This window comes from Homo sapiens, chromosome 1, assembly GCF_000001405.40.
Source record: "Homo sapiens chromosome 1, GRCh38.p14 Primary Assembly".
NCBI classification, from domain to species: domain Eukaryota; kingdom Metazoa; phylum Chordata; class Mammalia; order Primates; family Hominidae; genus Homo; species Homo sapiens.
The window spans coordinates 234,399,067-234,418,564 of NC_000001.11; the positions used below are offsets into that span (position 1 = coordinate 234,399,067).

At 41.4% G+C, this 19,498-nt stretch overlaps 1 protein-coding gene across 17 annotated transcripts in view; it reads right to left on the minus strand.

Moving 5' to 3' along the window:
- Nucleotides 1-19,498, minus strand: part of TARBP1 (tRNA guanosine 2 -O-methyltransferase TARBP1) — an 87,867-nt gene that overhangs the window by 7,754 nt on the left and 60,615 nt on the right. For 8 of the 17 annotated variants that reach the window (XM_047429060.1, XM_005273234.4, XM_011544263.3 and 5 more), the window contains 4 exons: nt 19,018-19,167; nt 11,379-11,465; nt 6,837-7,033; nt 2,115-2,196 (listed from right to left, as the gene is read on the minus strand). In XM_047429060.1, the coding sequence (XP_047285016.1) occupies nt 2,115-2,196; nt 6,837-7,033; nt 11,379-11,465; nt 19,018-19,167 (516 nt within the window). Of the gene's footprint in view, nt 1-1,002; nt 1,258-1,786; nt 1,883-2,114; nt 2,197-6,836; nt 7,034-8,630; nt 10,508-11,378; nt 11,466-11,513; nt 11,631-19,017; nt 19,168-19,498 lie in introns of those variants that run through there. The other 9 variants (XM_047429068.1, XM_047429072.1, XM_047429067.1 and 6 more) reach the window with 5 other exon arrangements.

Genomic DNA, 19,498 nt, shown 5'->3' on the forward strand with positions numbered 1-19,498 from the left:
GACGAGGATAAAATCAGATTACAACAACATATTAAAGTGTTCGTGAACACGGCATAGTCTGACACCACTGTAAACAGTCATCGCATAAGCAATCCTCCTTTGCTTTTCTTACCTACTAAAAGAACTGCACCATAAAAATGACCAACAGTGAAACAAGTACATAGGAAGCAGAGGTCCAAGTAACAGGCAACTTAAAAACGAAACAATACTCTTAGCAGCAATGCACATGTCTTCATGAAAGGTTTTAGAATGAATATGGTTTTCTTCACACTAGCTATATCTGTGCAAACTTAAACTGGCACAATGATCACGACTACATGTTGATTAAGGGGGAACCAAGTAGGGGGCACCAAGTACAGCTCCAAATACATGAAGACTAAACTAGTTCAACCATTGTGGAAGTCAGTGTGGCGATTCCTCAGGGATCTAGAACTAGAAATACCATTTGACCCAGCCATCCCATTACTGGGTATATACACAAGGACTATAAATCATGCTGCTATAAAGACACATGCACACGTATGTTTATTGCGGCACTATTCACAATAGCAAAGACTTGGAACCAACCCAAATGTCCAACAATGATAGACTGGATTAAGAAAATGTGGCACATATACACCATGGAATACTATGAGGCCATAAAAAATGATGAGTTCATGTCCTTTGTAGGGACATGGATGAAATTGGAAATCATCATTCTCAGTAAACTATCGCAAGAACGAAAAACCAAACACCGCATATTCTCACTCATAGGTGGAAACTGAACAATGAGAACACACGGACACAGGAAGGGGAACATTACACTCTGGGGACTGTTGTGGGGTGGGGGGAGGGGGGGAGGGATAGCTTTAGGAGATATACCTAATGCTAGATGACGAGTTGGTGGGTGCAGCACACGACCATGGCACATTTATACATATGTAACTAACCTGCACATTGTGCACATGTAACCTAAAACTTAAAGTATAATAATAATAAAATAAAAACAAAAAAAAAACAAATACATGAAGAGATACAGTTCCTATGAACAATTAAGCCCCATTATTTTATTTACACATACACCTTTAATTCATTTCATGACTGGAGAATAAATCATAAAACATATGAGAGTGAGGTGGTCAAAGGTAAGGATGAGGGAGGGCAGGAGGGAGGCAAAGGACTTACTCCTGTTGGAAGACTGAATAGAAAAAGGTTGACTTAACACTAGAGTGACTAGAGGAGTCCTGCAGAAAGATGCCGGACAAAGCATTCTGGGCGCTAAAGAACACAGAGCAGAGCATATTAAAATCTTTGAAAAATCCTAAATGATATTTGCAGTGAAGCAGCAGAAAATACACATTAGTGTTCTAGGATGCATATCTTGCAATATATAGATCTATACTTTTTTACAGATCAGTTTATCAATAATCTTAGTAATCCACCAAAAAAATTGCTTATGCACAGCAGCTTAAGTTACCAATAACTTATAAGTTCTTCAGAGGAAAAGCCCTAGGTCAGTGATTTAAATTCAAGGGCAGCACATTATAATTACAGTTGAAAAAGGGAGAAGGTATCATAATTTATGCAATGTCTAATGATTTACATATTGAATTAATTTACATGTTAATCATAATAAGCATGTTTATGGTTCTTAAAATTATATAAGCACATTTTGTTACAGTCAGTGAGGTGATGTATCATCTCCTATACAATTCTCATTACCCAGAACCTAAAAATTGCCATTAACAAAAAAGTATATCTTTTTGTTCTTTCATTAACAATGGGCTTCAGTACAATGAAATCTCACCTGCACAAATGTTCTCACTCATTTCCTTTTAATGTCAGAACAGATTTCTGTTTAGAGTTAAATATTCCCTTCCATTGTTTACAAGCCAGACACTGCCTGAGAAATAGAAAGTGAAAATGACTAGCCAATTTTCACTGCTTAAGAGTGAAATGAAAGCAAGTCATCTGCATAAAGTGACAAAGTTAAACTTAGAACTTTAAAATGTTAAGGTGATGTTTGTAAGCAAGAAAAAAACTTTACCCTAATCACAACCCTTCAACAAAAGCAGAAAGGAAGCATCAGGATTAAAGATACAATAGAGAATTTACAAATGATATTCTCTACTCACCTCTAGACAATAATCCTTGAGTGGGTGAAATGTTGCAAAAAAGAAATGCTCCTGAATGCGTTGCCAATTCTTCTTGGCATTCCTAAGGATTAAAAATATGGTATGAGCCACAGACAAATGAAACAACTCTGGTGAGGGGAGAATCAATTCAGTATCTTAAAGGGTGGCTGCAGAGTTGAGAAGGAACAGAAAATTTTATGAACTTTATCCTAAGATTTATACACACCTCTCCAAGATCAATACATACTTTAAAAACTGACACTTAATAAATTTCACATTTTGAAATGGAACCTTAAACCTATGTCTGGCAGAAAACTCTTTTTTCCAGGAGAGAAAACCATTACATAAAAGTCACCTTTTCTACTCCAAAGACTCATACCATGCAGCCAAGTTGTACCTACTTTCACAAACCAAACAAATTTACTATGAGCAGCGTTTAAATTTTTAAAACATCTGTTGTCAAGTTTATGTTTTAAAAGGCAAAAAAGGTAGGGATAAAAGTTATACAATATGGCAGGCAGGTTTCAGATAAAATTCATGATCATCAACCCATAAACTAAGCAGCAATTTCAAGACATTTTTCTGGCAAGATCACGCTCCTGCCCTGACCAGTGTGTCTTCTTCACTCCCTGGAGTTCCTATGCCCTCCCCAACCCTCTCACTATCAGCAGACAGCCATGCCTCACACATCACAGGAGACAGGAGTGAGAGATCTTTCTTCTTCCTGCCACCTCCTTACCCACCTGTCCTCTTTTCTCCTTCACTGTCAAGAGTCTCTCTTCAAAGGGCAATACCCTGCCCCGCAACAGATCCCATTCCCCTGGGTTTTGCCCTATCTCCCCCAACTTCCGCATCTCCCCTCTTCTCTATTCTAGCCTTTCCTTCAGCCTTTTCAAAAGGGCTTTTGTATCTAGTCTTAAAAAACAAAACAAAACCTTATTAAAGTGTCCATCAGTAATGGACTCAAGCGATATCCTAAGGCAAATGGAATATTAGGTAGCTGTTAAAAGAAAAGCAAGTTTACTGGAGTTTCACCTTTGGTGGGAGAAGGAAGGAGACTGTCTCGTTTTCATTCGATGCCTTTCTGCACTGTTCAACTTCCTGACTATGAGTATCACTTAAAAACAACTAATGTTACCAAAAATGAAACAGAAGCCCTCTTTTGACAGCACCCCCACCACTAGCTGTTGAACTTTCTAATATACTATTTTTTGAGAGAATTTTCTAAATAAGTTGACTCTGTCTCACCTTCATCACCCATTTTTTGAAAAGTTAAAGACATGAAATATTTTAAATATTCCGAATATTCAGGTAAAGAAAATTATAGACACCAGTAAACCTACCACTCTGATGTAATATATGTTAATGTATCATCCTATCCACATTTGGACTTTGTTTGTTTGTTTTTTTTTTGAGACAGGGTCTCACTCGGTTGCCAGGCTGGAGTGCAGTGGTGCAATCTCCGCTCACTGCAGCCTCAACTTCTTGGGCTCAGGTGATTCTCTCACCTCAGCCTCCCGAGGTGCTGGGACTACAGGTGCATGCCACCATACCCCGCTAACTTTTTTTTATTATTATTATTTTTATAGAGAACGGGGTTTTGCCATGTTGCCCAGGCTGATCTTGAACTCCTGGGCTCAAGCAATCCACTCACCTCGGCCTCGCAAAGTGCTGGGATTACAGGCGAGAGCCACTGCAGCTGGCCCCCTCTTGTACCTATTTTAATTTGGTTTCAATCCCCTAATTATGCTATCGAATGGCTCTTGATAAATCCAGTCAGTACTTTAGGCCCTTGTTTACCTTACCTCAAAGCCTGTCCATTTCTCTGTCCCTCTACTAATCTCATACTAATCTAAATCACAATTTTCCTCCCACTCTCTCTTGCTCACCTCCGATCTGCTCTTCACACTTTAATGCAAAAGAAAACTGGATGACGTCATTCTCAAGTTTAACTTTTTGCTGGCTTCCCCATTCACTCAACATCAACCCAAGCCTGGCCCTGGCTCCCTCCATCTTGGGACTGCTCTGTTGCTTCCCTCAGCCAGACCAAGCTTGCTTTAGTTAAAGCTCTGGGCAAATCAAGTGGGGCTGGCCGTTCCCAAACACAGTGTCTTCTGCACAGAAATCTCTTTCCTTCAGTCTTCATTGACCTAGCTCCTATTCATGCTTTAGATTTTAATGTAAACATCATGTTACTTAGAAAGGCTTTCCCTAAACCACCCAGACTGAACAGTCTGTATTTCCTCATCACCACATTTACTTTTCTGTGATTTATTTTAAAACTTTCCTCATCACATTTACTTTTCTGTGATTTATTTTAAAACTTTAAAAAATTGCTCTGATTACTTGATGTCTATTCCCATTTGACTGTGAGTCACATGAAGAAAGAGGCTCATCTACCTGGCTAAGCCCCAGCACCTGGCCTTGTGCCTGTCACAAGCCGATCCCAAGGAGGTATGCAATCACAGAACAGAGGTGGCTTAATGCCCAGGGTGCCTTATTTATTTGTTTATTTATTTTTGAGACAGAGTCTTGCTCTGTTGCCGAGGCTGGAGTGCAGTGGCGCAATCTTGGCTCACTGCAACCTCCACCTCCCGGGTTCAAGAGATTCTCCTGCCTCAGCCTCCCGAGTAGCTGAGATTACAGGCGCCTGCCACCACACCCAGCTAATTTTTGTATTTTTAGTAGAGACAGACAGGGTTTCACCATGTTGGTCAGGCTGGTCTCGAACTCCTGACCTCAGGCGATCCACCTACCTTGGCCTCCCAAAGTGCTGGGATTATAGGCATGAGCCACTGCACCCAGCCGGATGCCTTATTTTGATTGGCTATTTATCTCCTACCTGGTACTGAGATTTTTAAAGTTATTTTTTAAAAGTGCGTTTTATTGCTTAATAAAAAATATGACTGGAGCCAATTGCTTTTAGAAATCAAAACACAGCTACCAACAAATTTAGAATAGGATCAACAACCAGGATCGAAATGTCTCAATACCAAATAATCACTCACCATCGAATCACAGAGACAGCTACAAGCTGACAAATGCCTATCTGCGTGTTAAATTATGGCAATTCCCTCAAACTCCCTTCCATTAAGGAAGGGCTGAAAGTCTATGGGGTAACTATACCCTCTGTCCCCTGGTTACCTATCTCTAACCATCAAACACAAACAGCACGTAAGTTCATTAAATTACATAATAAAATATGATTAGCAGCAACTTTGGTAGCTTGAGTTTGGATTACTGCATGATAATGCAAATGCGATCCTGAGAAATATTAATGTTCAAATCTACACATGTAAACTCAGCCATGTATTCACCAAATAATAGGAAATACACCATACACCAAGGAGAAATAAGACATTTAAGGTCCCTTGAAAAGATCAAGATTTTTAGTTTTCAGAGGACAGTTGGAATTGTAGGGGTCCCTGGCAATGCTACAGTGAATGACTAATTTTGATGACCAGCCTTTGCTGGGCCAGGCACAGGAAGGTCATTCTCCAGTATACAGAACTGTGCACGATGTACCAGGAATCCATTCCCGCCTCTGCTCTCTGTCCCTCCTCTGGAACCCATCTCCCCACAGCTAACTCTCTTTTTCTCCTGCTACTCCCCTGTTTTATTTCATGCTATTTACTTTTTTCTCCATTTTAGTATTTATTTGTATTTATCAAATATCTTTCTCCCAAGCCCCTAAAACCTCCCTTACCCACTTAATGCCCAAATGCCTCTTTTCAACAAATGCATCAAAAGTGAAGGGAGGTAGAAAGGTACATTGCGGGCCAGGGAGGTACCCTCGCCCCAGCCCCATATGAAGCTACACAATGACTCAGTCTTATTTGTACCATGTACAAATAACTTAATGGTCACGACCAAGACTTCTACATGTTACTGGTTTTCCAAATGCTATTTCATTTGCCTATTATGCTGCTTCCAACACTTAACCATTTGTGTATATAAATTAGTGGGTGCTTTTTCAGCTTTTAAGATGAAAAATCTTTTATGTTGGTTGATATTGCCTGTGTCTCTAAAATTTAAAAAAAAAATCCAGAATTCCTGGATGGCAATAATCTATGATAATAATAAAAAGGCAAAACAGCACCACCTCAGAGATAAGGAAACAAGCGCAGAGACCTGGAGATGCTTATGACACTGCAGCCTGCTTCTGCACCGTGACAGGTGCGGGGAAAGAGAGGCAGACATGGGAACCACCGTGGGGGCTTCACAGACACTGGGTCCTGCACCGCTCCCTCACCCCATCCACGTCACTTGCTTGATACTGAGCTTCCATGTATGATTTTGTCTGCGGAATAGGAGAGTTCTCTTAGAAAAGAAAAAAGCCTTTAGCTATAACTAGTATAGCTGAGAGATTAAAAGTATGTCTTTAAAGTCAGGTCGTGCCACTTCTAAGCAGTTCTCAAACAACAAAGGATGACATTTAGCTATACTGAAGAGAAACAGGTACAAGTATGTAGAAGATTATTTGTACAATAAAGGATTGAGGATAAAAGGGCAATAAGAGGTCAAGGTGGAGCTGACAATGAACTGTAATTAACTACACCCCAAAGTGAGCTGCTTAGGCCTGGCCCAGTCCAAGCCCTCGATGCTCCAGGACGGCAGCATGAGGATGTGGAAGGAGAAGCTGACACAGTATGGGCACTGCCCCCTCCCTGTGGGCCCTGCTGGAGGAGAGTGAGGGCGATGAGGTTGACGAGGGCTCCTTACCCTGCTCCGTGCATGCTTTCCACTTGATGGAGGCTGGATTCAATCACAGGAGTCAGGGCATCAAATTCTTCAACACTTAACACTTTACACACAGTCCAGAGTTTCTTAAGAGCAACTAAAGCATACAGTCGAACACTAAAATTGTGATTGAAACACCACTGCAGCACAACTATAAGGGCTTGCTTCAGAATTAGTTTCTGAAAAGAAAGGCAAAAAATTCCTCAAAACACAGACATGGACCATTTTACTCTCACTTGTATGACACAAAAAAAGTACACGAATGATACAACTGCTCCTAGTAAAACTTCTTCCACTGGCTTTGCTACCAGGGCCTCTCATTCTTCCCTCCTGGTCAAATGCGGTGCACAGGCATTTGCAATTTACTCAAGGAAAAACACATTCTCCCAGCTCTAGTTTTCATTAATGCTGCAGTACATTTCCCCCCGCCCCCCATACTCTAGTACCTGAGTTAACTTGAAAAAAGTATGTTTTATGCTAACCATTATACAACCAAAATGTTTTTCAAATGGAGCCTCCATCTCCTATTATCTTAATTTGTGCTGAGAAAGTCAGAAATAGTCTTCAAGAGTCCCACTTCTGATGGCTTGAAAATGCTCCTAGAGCAAGATACCACACAAAGTGCTGTCCTCCTCCTCACTACTGATTTCTGAGCTACTCTGTCTTCCCTAATGGTGATCCTGGACCCACACAGTACTGAGTAGTGGCAGGAAAATTAAGAAATGAGGGGGAAAATAATAAAACTGTTTAAATTTCCTTGTAGTCTTTTCCTGTGAACTTTAGTCTTCACAGCCTGGAGATGTCAAGCAATCCCTTGCTTTCTAAAATCACATGGTTCAACAGACACTGAAGGTCAAAGGAAGTGACATATACTAATGAAGGAACCAGACGGACCCAAACTTTTAATGAAATATCAGAAGCTATTTTGATGCTCCTACCAAATGCACTTCTCCCCTAAGGCTCACATGGAAATGCTTACCGGCTGCGCCTGGCAGCCCAGTTTCTACTGACCAATTCAAAACAACCATATTCACACAATAGTTTACCAAAGGCATCAGCATGGCTGATAACACACTTGTTACTCTAAGTTTCTCTGAGAAGGATAAAAACAGAGATAAACAATCCTCTTTCTCTCATTCCTTTACTCAACATGTCATCAACATTTATCAAAGGTCAGTGACTGTACTGCCAACATTACAAGGTGTGATGTTATGATATACACTGGTTTTTGTCCACAATTCCTGTCTTATAACTCCCATAGCCCTTGTTACAGTCTTTTGTTATAACGATCCCATATGGAAGGAAGTCACTTGTGCAGCCCACACTGAAGGAGTGAGAAGTCACGCTCCCCCTCCCTCAGGGCAGAGCTTCTATAAAAATTACTTGTAATTTTTTTTACAAGAGATTTGTCTTGTCCATCCTTTTTTTTTTTTTTGAGATGGAGTCTCACTCTGTCGCCTAGGCTGGAGTGCAGTCCTGCAATCTTGGCTCATTGCAATTTCTGCCTCCCGGGTTCAAGTGATTCTCCTGCCTCACCTCCTGAGTAGCTGGGATTATAGGCATGTACCACCATGCCTGGCTAATTTTTGTATTTTTAGTAGAGACGGGGTTTCACCATGTTGGCCAGGCTGGTCTCGAACTCCTGACCTCAAGTGATCCACCCGCCTTGGCCTCCCAAAGTGCAGGATTACAGGCATGAGCCACAGTGCCTGGACTCATTTATTGATTCAATCATTTATTTATATCGGTGTGGGCTCGAGGATATTTATTTTATTCTTTGGGTTGTGATCCAACACTGCTTTATTTTGTTGCTCACACTGTTTCAGCTTCAGCCACTGGGAACATCTTCCCTCTGCATGCCCATCTCACATCACTGTATGTATAAAGTTCTGCCTTGCTCTCTGACTCTACAAGATGCTCCAGGCTCATCTTGTATACTTTCTGCCCTAGTTTTAGAATCAGCTATTTCTCCAGCGATCCCTGGTTCGTTTTATTGGAGAATGGTGTTAGCAACCAAGATCTTGGAGCTAGGTATACATTACTCGTAAATGAAAAAAACCCACTATAATTCTCAATAGGGAAAACAGTGCTTCCTATGGAGCCCACACTCAAAAATGTTGGCACTGCCAGTGATCGCTCGGCTGGGGCTTTCAGGACGTAAATGATGCTTTCATACATATCAGTGTAAAAAGCTCTGCTCGTGAATTCTCATGTCCGCTCATTTTACACAATGAGCAAGCTGACAGGACAATACACAACTATGAGCATAATTAAGAAAGGTTTTTTTTTTTTTTCCTTTTATAGGAACACTTCGTGCTCTGATTCTGAAACCGCCTTTGCAAAATTGTAACTGAGGTGGGGAAAGAGATCTGACCTAACCAACTCCATCTTGCTTCTAACCTCCAAGCTGTCCTTGTTCATTCCTGGGTGTAGGCTCAACTAACTTTGGGAGAAACTTAGTTTAGTTTATAGTTTAAAACAAAGATGATAACAGCCCTTTCCCAAGACAAACCCCCTTCTTGTCTGGGGACTAGATTTCCTTTGTAGGACTAACAAATTAGCCTCAAGATTAGAAATTATGGTTCAGGAGTCATGTAGCTGGAAGCTACAAGATTCTGACCCTCCCTAAACTGCTCCTATGTCGGTGCTCGAGATATTTTGCAGACCTGCACTCGACGGATCAGCTGGCACCACCCAGATCGATTAACTGGCTCATCTGATCTCGTGGCCCCCACCCTGGAACTGACTTAGCACAAAAGGACACCTCAATTCCTTATGATTTCATCTCCGACCCAACCAATCAACACCCTTGACTCACTGGCCTTCCCCCTCCCACCAAATTATCCTTAAAAACTCTGATCCCCGAATGCTCAGGGAGATCGATTTGAGTACTAATAAGACTCCAGTCTCCTGCACAAGCAGCTCTGTGTACTCTTCCTCTATTGCAATTCCTGTCTTGATAAATCGGCTCTGTGTAGGCGGCGGAAGAGGTGAACCTGTTGGGCGGTTACCACCTCTGTCGTGTGTGACAGTTGTTTTGAATCTCTAATTGCTCAGTACAGATCCCACATGCAGGTTAAGTAAGATGCTTTGAAGAAAATGGAAAGTCTTAAGTGATTGCTTCCAAGAAATCAAACCTACATTTATCTAGGTAACAACGGACTTTACGTATCACAAATGAAGAGACTGACAAAGTAAATCAACTTGGCCTTTTCTTAGGTATGTCAAGTCAGTTTTTTTTTTCCTAAGGTGTTGAAATGGAAATTCTTCCATTTCACTAATTAGCATTCCTTTTTGGATGTTTCGAAAATAAAAAATAAATCTAAAATATGTAATAAACGGCAAGTACAAAAAGGGCTTGACAGAAAAATAACATGTTACTTTTACCAGATCTAACATGAACATCTTCTAAGGTAAATTCGTTTTCAGAATTTGTCTAAACTATTCTTAGGCTATTCATCTACCCCGCAACAGGACAATGTCTGCTCTGTTTTAGCTTTCTCAATAGATTGTAAGCAAATCTCTTTGCGGCACATATTTAAAACAGAAAGACAACATTTGATCTTATCTGATGCCAGAGCCTTCTTGATCTTACGGAAGATGTGAACGAGTTTTCCTGGAACTGTAACACACTGCCATCTGGCTGATACACACTGGAAGACACCATCAATTTAAAAGTGTTATCATGATTTTAGAGGAAAATGTGGTGTGGAGAAAGGCCTGTCTTTGAATGGATGAAATAGGTTAATAAAAAACATCACTGTTTAAAAACTAGAACACTGAAAAATTCTAGGAAAGCTTATTTTCCCTTATATTTTTATGGTACTTTCAACACTTAATAACACTATTTCAATTAAGTTTTCTCCTAGAGTTTATAGTATATCAGTACATTCTTTTCTGTGGATGCAATAATATAGAATCTTATTCCAAATCTTACTGGCAGGTTCTCTTAAATTCTTCAACGGCTGCCATAGTGATTAACCAAAATTAGTTATGATTTCTGCCTATCTGTGTGAGAACTTACAGGGGAAATTGTTCTAAACCTGAGGAACATGAAGTAACTGTACTGCACACTCCAAATGATGACAGTCATTTTATATCACCTTCAATTACCCAACAGCTTTTAATAGTCTGGCCATAAGTTTCTTTGCACGAGCATTTGTTAAATAACTACCATTCAGTCAAAGAAGGTAAGGGAAGTCCTGTTTAAAGAATCCTAAGTAATCCTAATCCTAAGAATTATAAATAATTATTAATTTTATACAAGTATCAACAAAAACTTACCCAGTAGTTTGTCTATAAATTTGGTATGTACTCAAGCACACCTCAGTGTGTATGCATGTAAATGGGTAATTCCCATTTACTGGGTATTTGTGTCTAATACATGTGCACATTAGCAGGGCAGTGGAAAGGAAAGGGAAAAATTGCAAACATTCACAGGAATGCTCTACATATAAAAAATTGGTACAAATACATACAATTCTTTTTTTACAGTCAAGTTTAAATTCTTACAAACAAACTTACCTTTTCTGGAATATTTTGAGTAATAATGTCTAAATGTGATAAAACTGCTAAAAACGTACAAATGCTTGTTTTAAGATTTTCTTCACCCTGAAAAAATAATCAGATAAACAAATATTGATTCAAAGCTTACTGTGAAACATGCACGTGAAAGCGCCGTGCTGGACTCTATGAGGGCCCAGGACAGGAGGCAGCCTCTTCCCTGGAACAGCCCGGGGTCTGGGTGGGAAGGGGGCTGCGGCAACAGGCACAGGACTGAAAGCAAAGGAAATATTTCCTAGAGCCAAATGCCAGTGCACACAAAAATCAGCAGGTCACATAAAGTACTGAATAACTCAACTCTAAGTACAGCGGGGCACAGTGGCTCACGCCTATAATCCCAACACTTTGGGAGGCTGAGGCGGGTGGATCATTTCAGGCCAGGGGTTTGAGATCAGCTTGGCCAACATGGTGAAACCATGTCTACCAAAAAATACAAAAATTCGCTGGGCATGGTAGCGCACACCTGTAGTCCCAGCTACTGGGGAGGCTGAGGTAGAAGAATTGCCTGAACCCAGGGCAGAGTTTGCAGTTAGCTGAGATCGTGCCACTGCACTCCAGCATGGGCAACAGAGCAAGACCCTGTCTCAAAAAAAAACATAAAATAAAGTACAGTGTGCCCTCTGTATGCACGAGTTCTGCATCTATGAGTTCAACCAACCGTGGATGAAAAATATTTAACAAAAAATTTTTAAAACATAATGCAATTAAAAAGTAATACAAAGTTTAAAACTGTATAACAGCGATTTACATAGCATGTACATTGTACTAGACATTATAAGTAATCTAAGATTATTAAAGTATATGGGAGGATACACATCAGTTATGTGCAACTACTATGCCATTCTAAACAAAAGACTTGAGCATCCTCAGGTTTTGGCATCCGTAGGGGGCCTGGAATCAATCCCCCATGGATACCAAGGGTTGATTATCTGTGGCAGAGCCAAGGGCATGCTCACTTCAGGAGAGGTGAGGCCTTCAGGATGGGAAGGACTGGCCTGGAGAAGGAGCAGGAAGGTTAGAGAACAGATAAGTGAACAAGAACAAAGACACAGAGGCAAACTTAAGGGAAAGGCAGCAAGAGGAGACAAAGCCAGTTTGGCAGAGAGTGATGGAGATAAGGCTCAAAAGTTAAATGGAATCATACTGTAGAGGCTTTAAAAAGCTATAGCGAAAAACCTATAGAAGACTTAATCAGCTATCTTAGGGAAAATTTTTTAAGAAGACTGTTCAACTGGAATCTGGAAACCTCTGATTCCAGTTGAAAAAGACTGTTCAACTGGAATCTGAAACTATTATTATTTCATAATCATAGTGGTTTTGGAATAATACATTATTTTAGTGATAATAAACTGATAAATGCCAGACAGATTGGAAAGAAAAGAGCATATAAGCAGGAAGACCAGTTTGGAAACCAATCCAAGAGGCAAATCATTTATTATTATTTAATTCCTTTATTTAATTAACAGTTACTGAATGTCTTCTACATGACAGTTACTATAGAAACAAGTTCCTGTAACTTAAAAATCTACTGGAGAAGATAAAAATCAAATCAGATTAAAATCCTAACTGTAAGCAGTACTATTTATGTGCTATGAAAACCTAAAATAAGGGGATCTAAATACTTGGGGAGGTAACTTCCTTTAAGAATGACAATATGGGCCTGGGCGCTGTGGCCCATGCCTGTAATCCCAGCACTTTGGGAGGCCGAGGCAGGTGGATCACAATGTCAGGAGTTCGATATCAGCCTGGCCAATATGGTAAAACCATGTCTCTACTAAAAATACAAAAATTAGCTGGGCATGGTGGTGGGCACCTGTAATTCCAGTTACCTGGGAGGCTGAGGCAGGAGAATCACTTGAACCCAGGAGATGGAGGTTGCAGTGAGCCGAGATCACACCACTGCACTCCAGCCTGGGGGACAGAGACAGACGCCGTCTCAAAAAAAAAAAAAAAGACAATATGGGCCAGGTGCAGTGGCTCATGACCAGCCCAGGCAACATAACAAGACCTCACCTCTATAAAAATTTAAAAATAAATTGGCCAGGTGTGGTGGCAGGTGCTTGTAGTCCCAGCTACTTAGAGGGCTGAGGCAGGAGGATCATTTGAGCCCAGTTGTTCAAAGCTGCAGTGATCTATAATTGCCGGGTGACAGAGCAAGACTCTGTCTCAAAAATAAATAAAGAAGACACATGAACTGAGATGTGAAGGGAGAGAGAGTTATCTAGATAAAGAGAAGAAAGAAGACCATTTTGTGTAAAGGGCACAACATGTGCAATAGCCTGAAACCAAAAGGACTGGTGATAAGCAGGAAAGACTGAAAAGGTCAGTGTGGTACTCAGTTATCTCGGGTGACCCCCGGTCAACCAACCCTCCCTACATATGCCCGATGCAGGCCCCTTCCACCCCAGCAGGGATGGTCATGTGATTTGCTTTGGCTGGTGAACATTAGCAAGCCTGATGCATCCAGAGGTTGGATGAGCACTTGCATGTCAGGACATGACCCGCCTGCGCCCCCTCGACCCCCGACCCGCCGGAAAGCTCATTCTTGGAGAACTGAATATAAAGAGGTCCAGCTACCCTGCTGGAGACACAGAGTGGGAGCGATGCCTAGCCACCAGAGCTGCTCCTGCCATTGCAGCTGAGGTGACAAATATGTGAGCGAAGGAGCCATTTGGAAGTCCCAGCCCCAGCAGACACCACAAGGAGCAAAACTGCCCAGCCAGGCCCAGACAACACACACATCACGAAAAAAAAGCAGTGGCTCACGCCTGTAATCCCAGCACTTTGGGAGGCCAAGGCGACATGGTGAAACCCCATCTGTACTAAAAATACAAAAATTATTTAGCTGGGTGTGGTGGCATGCACCTGTAATCCCAGCTACTCGGGAGGCTGAAGCAGGAGAATCGCTTGAACCCGGGAGGCAGAGGTTGCAGTGAGCCGAGATTGTGCCATTGCACTCTAGCTTGGGCGACAAGAACGAAACTCCATTGCAAAAACAAAACAAAACACATTGTTTACACCGCTAAGCTTTGGAGAGTTCTAGCAACGGAAAACAGACAATCAGTGTGCCTAGGTAGTGAATTGAGAATAGACCACACAGAGAGACTAGAGAGGAAAGAGGCCTAAGATCACGCAAGCCTTACGGGATACTCCGAGGAGCATAGTCTTCATCCTGAGACGACGTAAGACACTGTGTTCAGCAGGTGGGGTCACCTGTTGAAATTCTCACCATGGAAACCCTGCCTGGGCTTCAGGGTGGAAAGCAGATGGAAACAGAGCCAAGAGTGGATGTAGGCAGCCCAGTGAGGGAACCACTGCAAGGATGACAGTAGCGTCGACTGAGATACAATGGCAGGGACAGAAGAGAGAGAACTCAGAAATATTCAGGCAGAAAGATCAGGACCTGGTCACGAATCAGACACAGAGCATGGAAAGTGTCAAGGTTTCTGGTTTGTGCAACTGTATAGATGGTGGTGGTATTCACTAGAGTAGGAAGCAGATCAAGTTTGAGGGGAAAAATAAGGCACTCAGTGTTACACATCTACGTTTTAGGTTATTTAGTCTAAGGGAAAATCATCTACAAGGAAAACGTCTACAGCAAGGGTCAGAAAACTTGTTCTGTAAAGGGCCAAGCAATACACAAAAACATGGCTTTGTGGGCCACGCAGTCTCTGCTGCAACTGTTCAACTCTGCCACGTTAGCACAAACACAGCCACAGACAATATGAAAATGCATGGACATGGCTGTGTTCCAATATAACTCTGCCAGCCCAAATTTGGCTGTAGCTTGCCAACTCCTGATCTAGAGTCAGGGGAAGATGTGTGGCATACAAATACTAATGAGTAAGTCATTCACATTAGGTAATATGTGAATCCACAACACAGATAAGACTGACTATAAAAATAAGAAATTAATAATAATAAAAAAAGCCTAGCTCTAGAGAAGCACCACCATTTAAGAGGTAGGCAGGGAAAGAAAAGCCTGGAAAGGACACAGAAAAGAGGGCAGGAGGAACCAGAGAAGTGTGTGTCACTAGAAGCAAGAATAAGAAAATGGTCAGCAGCATGCATGTGGCTGACAGAAGAAGACAAAGGCTGACCACTGACTCGTCAGTCAGTCACTCTTGACTCCTGCAACAGTGTCTTCTGAGAAGTAACTGAACTGGAAGCTGGTCTACCATGGATTCAAGAGTGGGTTGGGAAGGATGTGAAAAAATAAGGCTGGGCGCGGTGGCTCATGCCTGTAATCCCAGCACTTAGGGAGGCCGAAGCGGGCAGATCACCTGAGGTCAGGAGTTCAAGACCAGCCTGGCCAACATGGTAAAACCCATCTCTACTAAAAATACAAAAATTAGCCGGGCATGGTGGTGCACACCTGTAGTCCCAGCTACTCAGGAGGCTGAGGCAGGAGAATTGCTTAAAGCTGGGAGGCGGAGGTTGCAGTGAGCCAATATCGCACCACTGCACTCCAGTCTGGGCGACAGAGCGAGACTCTGTCTCAAAAAAATTAATAAAATTAGTAAATTAAAAAAAAACTAAACCTCTGGAACACAGGCACCTCTTTCAGGAAGTCTGATGATGAAATAGTAGAGAGCCAGGGTGATTATAGGAGAGGGACGAGAAAACATCCAGTGTAAATATCCACAGAAAATGGATGCAACTCGAGCCTGTTGAAAAGCCAATGGGACCATTTGGCTAAGGAGAGACTGAGGATAGAAGACAGGCTGATAGCAACAAATGCCTGAGAAGACAGGAGGGAAGAGGGCCAAAGACTCAGTGGAAGAATTACTCTGGCACTGGAGAAGATTCTACTCCTTTATGGTAAAAGGAAGAAATCTCAGATGGATACTGACATAGGCAGATTTGTCTGATTGCTCTAGAGAAGATTTAGGTATTCCTAGGTGGCAACTGTTATTTTCTCTAAAAAAATAAAGGTTAAGGTAATTTGCTTTGAATAAAGGAGGAAAAGGGTGTAGTGGACAACTGCCCCTTTCTTTGATATCTATCCTGAATCCCCTTCCAAGTTTAGGGAATTCTTCCATCTTATGAGTGTTGGGGGACACTGAAAAATGCCAGGTATTCATCTTCCCAGCCTCCTTGCCACTAACAAGAAGGCACCTGACCCGGTTCCAAAGACTCCATTTCTGATTCCTAAATTGAGAACTTACAACTTAGAGAAGCAGAGCTCACAGAAAACCCTCCTCCACTGCAGGCAGCAGAGACAGTAGGTATACAGCTGGCTATAGCAAAGCCCTGCTGAAGGCACCGTGTGTCCAGTGGGGTAATGTCCCCAGTGAACTAGCTCTCTCTGGCCTGCCTGTGGTTGCATTTCTGGAAGCCACTGAGCCTCCCCTGTTCCTGCCAATTTTCCAGTTCTGATTCTGTAGCTTTCCCGGTGTTCTGTAAGCTACCTACTACTCCCCTCTTCCCCACTACCTTTTTTGAATCCCATTTTGATTCCATCAGCAAAAGCTTCCTTTGCCTACATCAAAAACTCTGTCTGATGTCCACAGGTAAAATCAGATTCGAAGAGAATATACAAGGTCTAATGACGAGTGAGAGGCTGAGCTAAGCAAATAAAAGTAACAACTGGCACTACTGTGGATGGGAGCACCAGGAAGTTTTGGGGGTACACCAGAACCAACCTGCCCTTTGTGAGAATTCCTGGGGCAGTGCTAACCCATTTGAGAGGTGACATAAACAAACTACATTAATAAAGCTATGGATCTAAAAGGCAACTCAAGGAAAAATAACAGAATCTGTTTCTTCATTATAGGAACACGAAGATGAAAAAGAAGAGCCAGAGGAGCCTGGAAAGAGATGAAAATTTTTGAGACGGAGTCTCACTTTGATGCCATCTGGAGTGCAGTGGCGTGATCCTGGCTCATTGCAACCTCCACCTCCCTGGGTTCAAGCTATTCTCCTGCCTCAGCCTCCCAAGTAGCTGGGACCACAGGTGTGCACCACCCCACCTGGCTAATTTCTGTATTTTTAGTAGAGACGGGGTTTCACCATGTTGGCCAGGCTGGTCTCAAACTCCTGACCTCAAGTAATTCTCCCGCCTCAGCCTCTAAAACTGTTGGGATTATAGGCATGAGCCGCCACTCCTGGCCAAAGCATTGTCATTTCTTAGTGGTGTGACGACTCACTTAATCGTTGTTTTCTTCATAAGGGTAAAAACTCCAACCTGTCTTTGAGGATTATGGTGAGGCTGCTGTTTCTGCTGCTTATGGTGACACCCAGGTTTTAAGCTAGGAGACTGGGAGAATGAAAGACATCAGAAAGGGGAGCCAATTTCAGGGCCAGATGCTGTTACCAGTTTAGTTTAACACAGGGTGAAGTTTGAAGTGATTATGGAAAGGCCCTGCAGGTGGCTGGAGAAGCAGGGACCGGCCGAGATGGGCTTTACTATGCTAAGGAAGTGCAGAAAGAGAAGCAGACAGGCTAACCAGCGACTCTTCAGATAAAACCAAGCATAAGGGTTGGGAGAGGGAAGCAAGTATGTGAAGGAAATAGAGAAGTTATCAGCACAATAGGAAGGGAATTATGAAGTTGACTGCAGTGTGAGGATCAGCTGTGGAGAAAGCCACTACCAATGCGAAGGCGTGAAATTAAAGTGGGGAGCATGGAGGAAAAGAGAAAGGCTGTCTGCAGCTCAGATAAAATCCTTGATGTATCACTGTTGAAAATGGAGTGGACCTCAGTGATTTGAGGAAGGCAAAGATCACACATTGAAGTTTAACAGTAAAGAAAGGAAGACACTGGATGATAGCTGGGTGGAGGAAAAGTCAACAGAACAAGCGTGAAGAATTCAGTGAGGTCCCAAAGGAGACACAAACAGGTCACAGGGGATAGATGTGAAAAAAAAGAATAAGGATATCTTTCCTGAAATAGGAAGAAATGGAGAAAGAGATATTTTGAGGAATGCACCTCCATTTTCACACAAAGAAGAAGACAAGATCATCTATTATGAAAGGGAAAGGTGCATTTGGAAACCAAAAGAAAGCATTCAAGATATAGAACTGATTCTTGGAAACAATTTGCTCTTTGTCAGGAAGCCAGCAATGATAAACTCTATCACTAATTTTAGTATCAATTCCTTAAAAATGATTTTCAATATATGAGAAAAGTTGGAAAGCGATTAGGGGAGTGTGTGAGGGTACAGATGAAACAAGAAAGGAAATGAACTGATATTACTTCTATTCTTTCTACGTTATGTTTGAAATCTCCCAAAACCTTTTTTTCAATTTTAAGGAACGCAATTAATTCCTCATCGTTCATATTTCTAAGATCAAACAAAGACATTGCTTGGTAAATAAGAATACGGAATGCACCTATTTCCCTTACTTCTTAATGACAAATGCCTTTTCCATCTTTATTTTGTTGAATAGAACAGCTCTCAAAAACTATGAAATATTCAAAATGAATGCCAGGGATTTCTGTCTTCTGAATTAATTCAGATCTTGCAAAACATAACTTATGATGTCAATACAATAGGGCAACTGAGAGTCAAAAACAACTATTTAAGTGAAACAAATCTCCCAGCATTGTCAAAATCATGTCTTAGTTTAAAAATATATAAAAAATATTCTTTACTTACATAAGAAAAACAATCCCAGAACTTTGGAAGAAATTGAGGGAATTTATGAAGAATCAATATAATAATCCATTCTATAAAATATTTTATGGATGCTTGATTGTTGGTGAAACCAGCCTGGAAAATCCTGTCAATAATTCCATTCAAGAAATTCTGAGAAAAAAAGTTCACAATTAACCAGTTACAGTTATTCATTTTAATTTAAAAATAGTCTCCATTTAAAATAAAATAGCTTAAAGTTTTTATCATAAGTAATTTATTGGATCTACAACTCTCCGAGCAAAGACTCTAAAAACTACTGATTAAAATATAATGATGAAGTACCTTCATTCAGTACTTTATAATTTACCTGGACATCAGTTCTATCTATAAGGAAGGTTATCCATCACCTGTATTTTTACAGGGAAAGGAAAAGACTCAGAAAAGCTGAATAACCCTCCCAAAGTCACATACCTAGTAAGTGGAAGAATTCAGGTTCAAATCA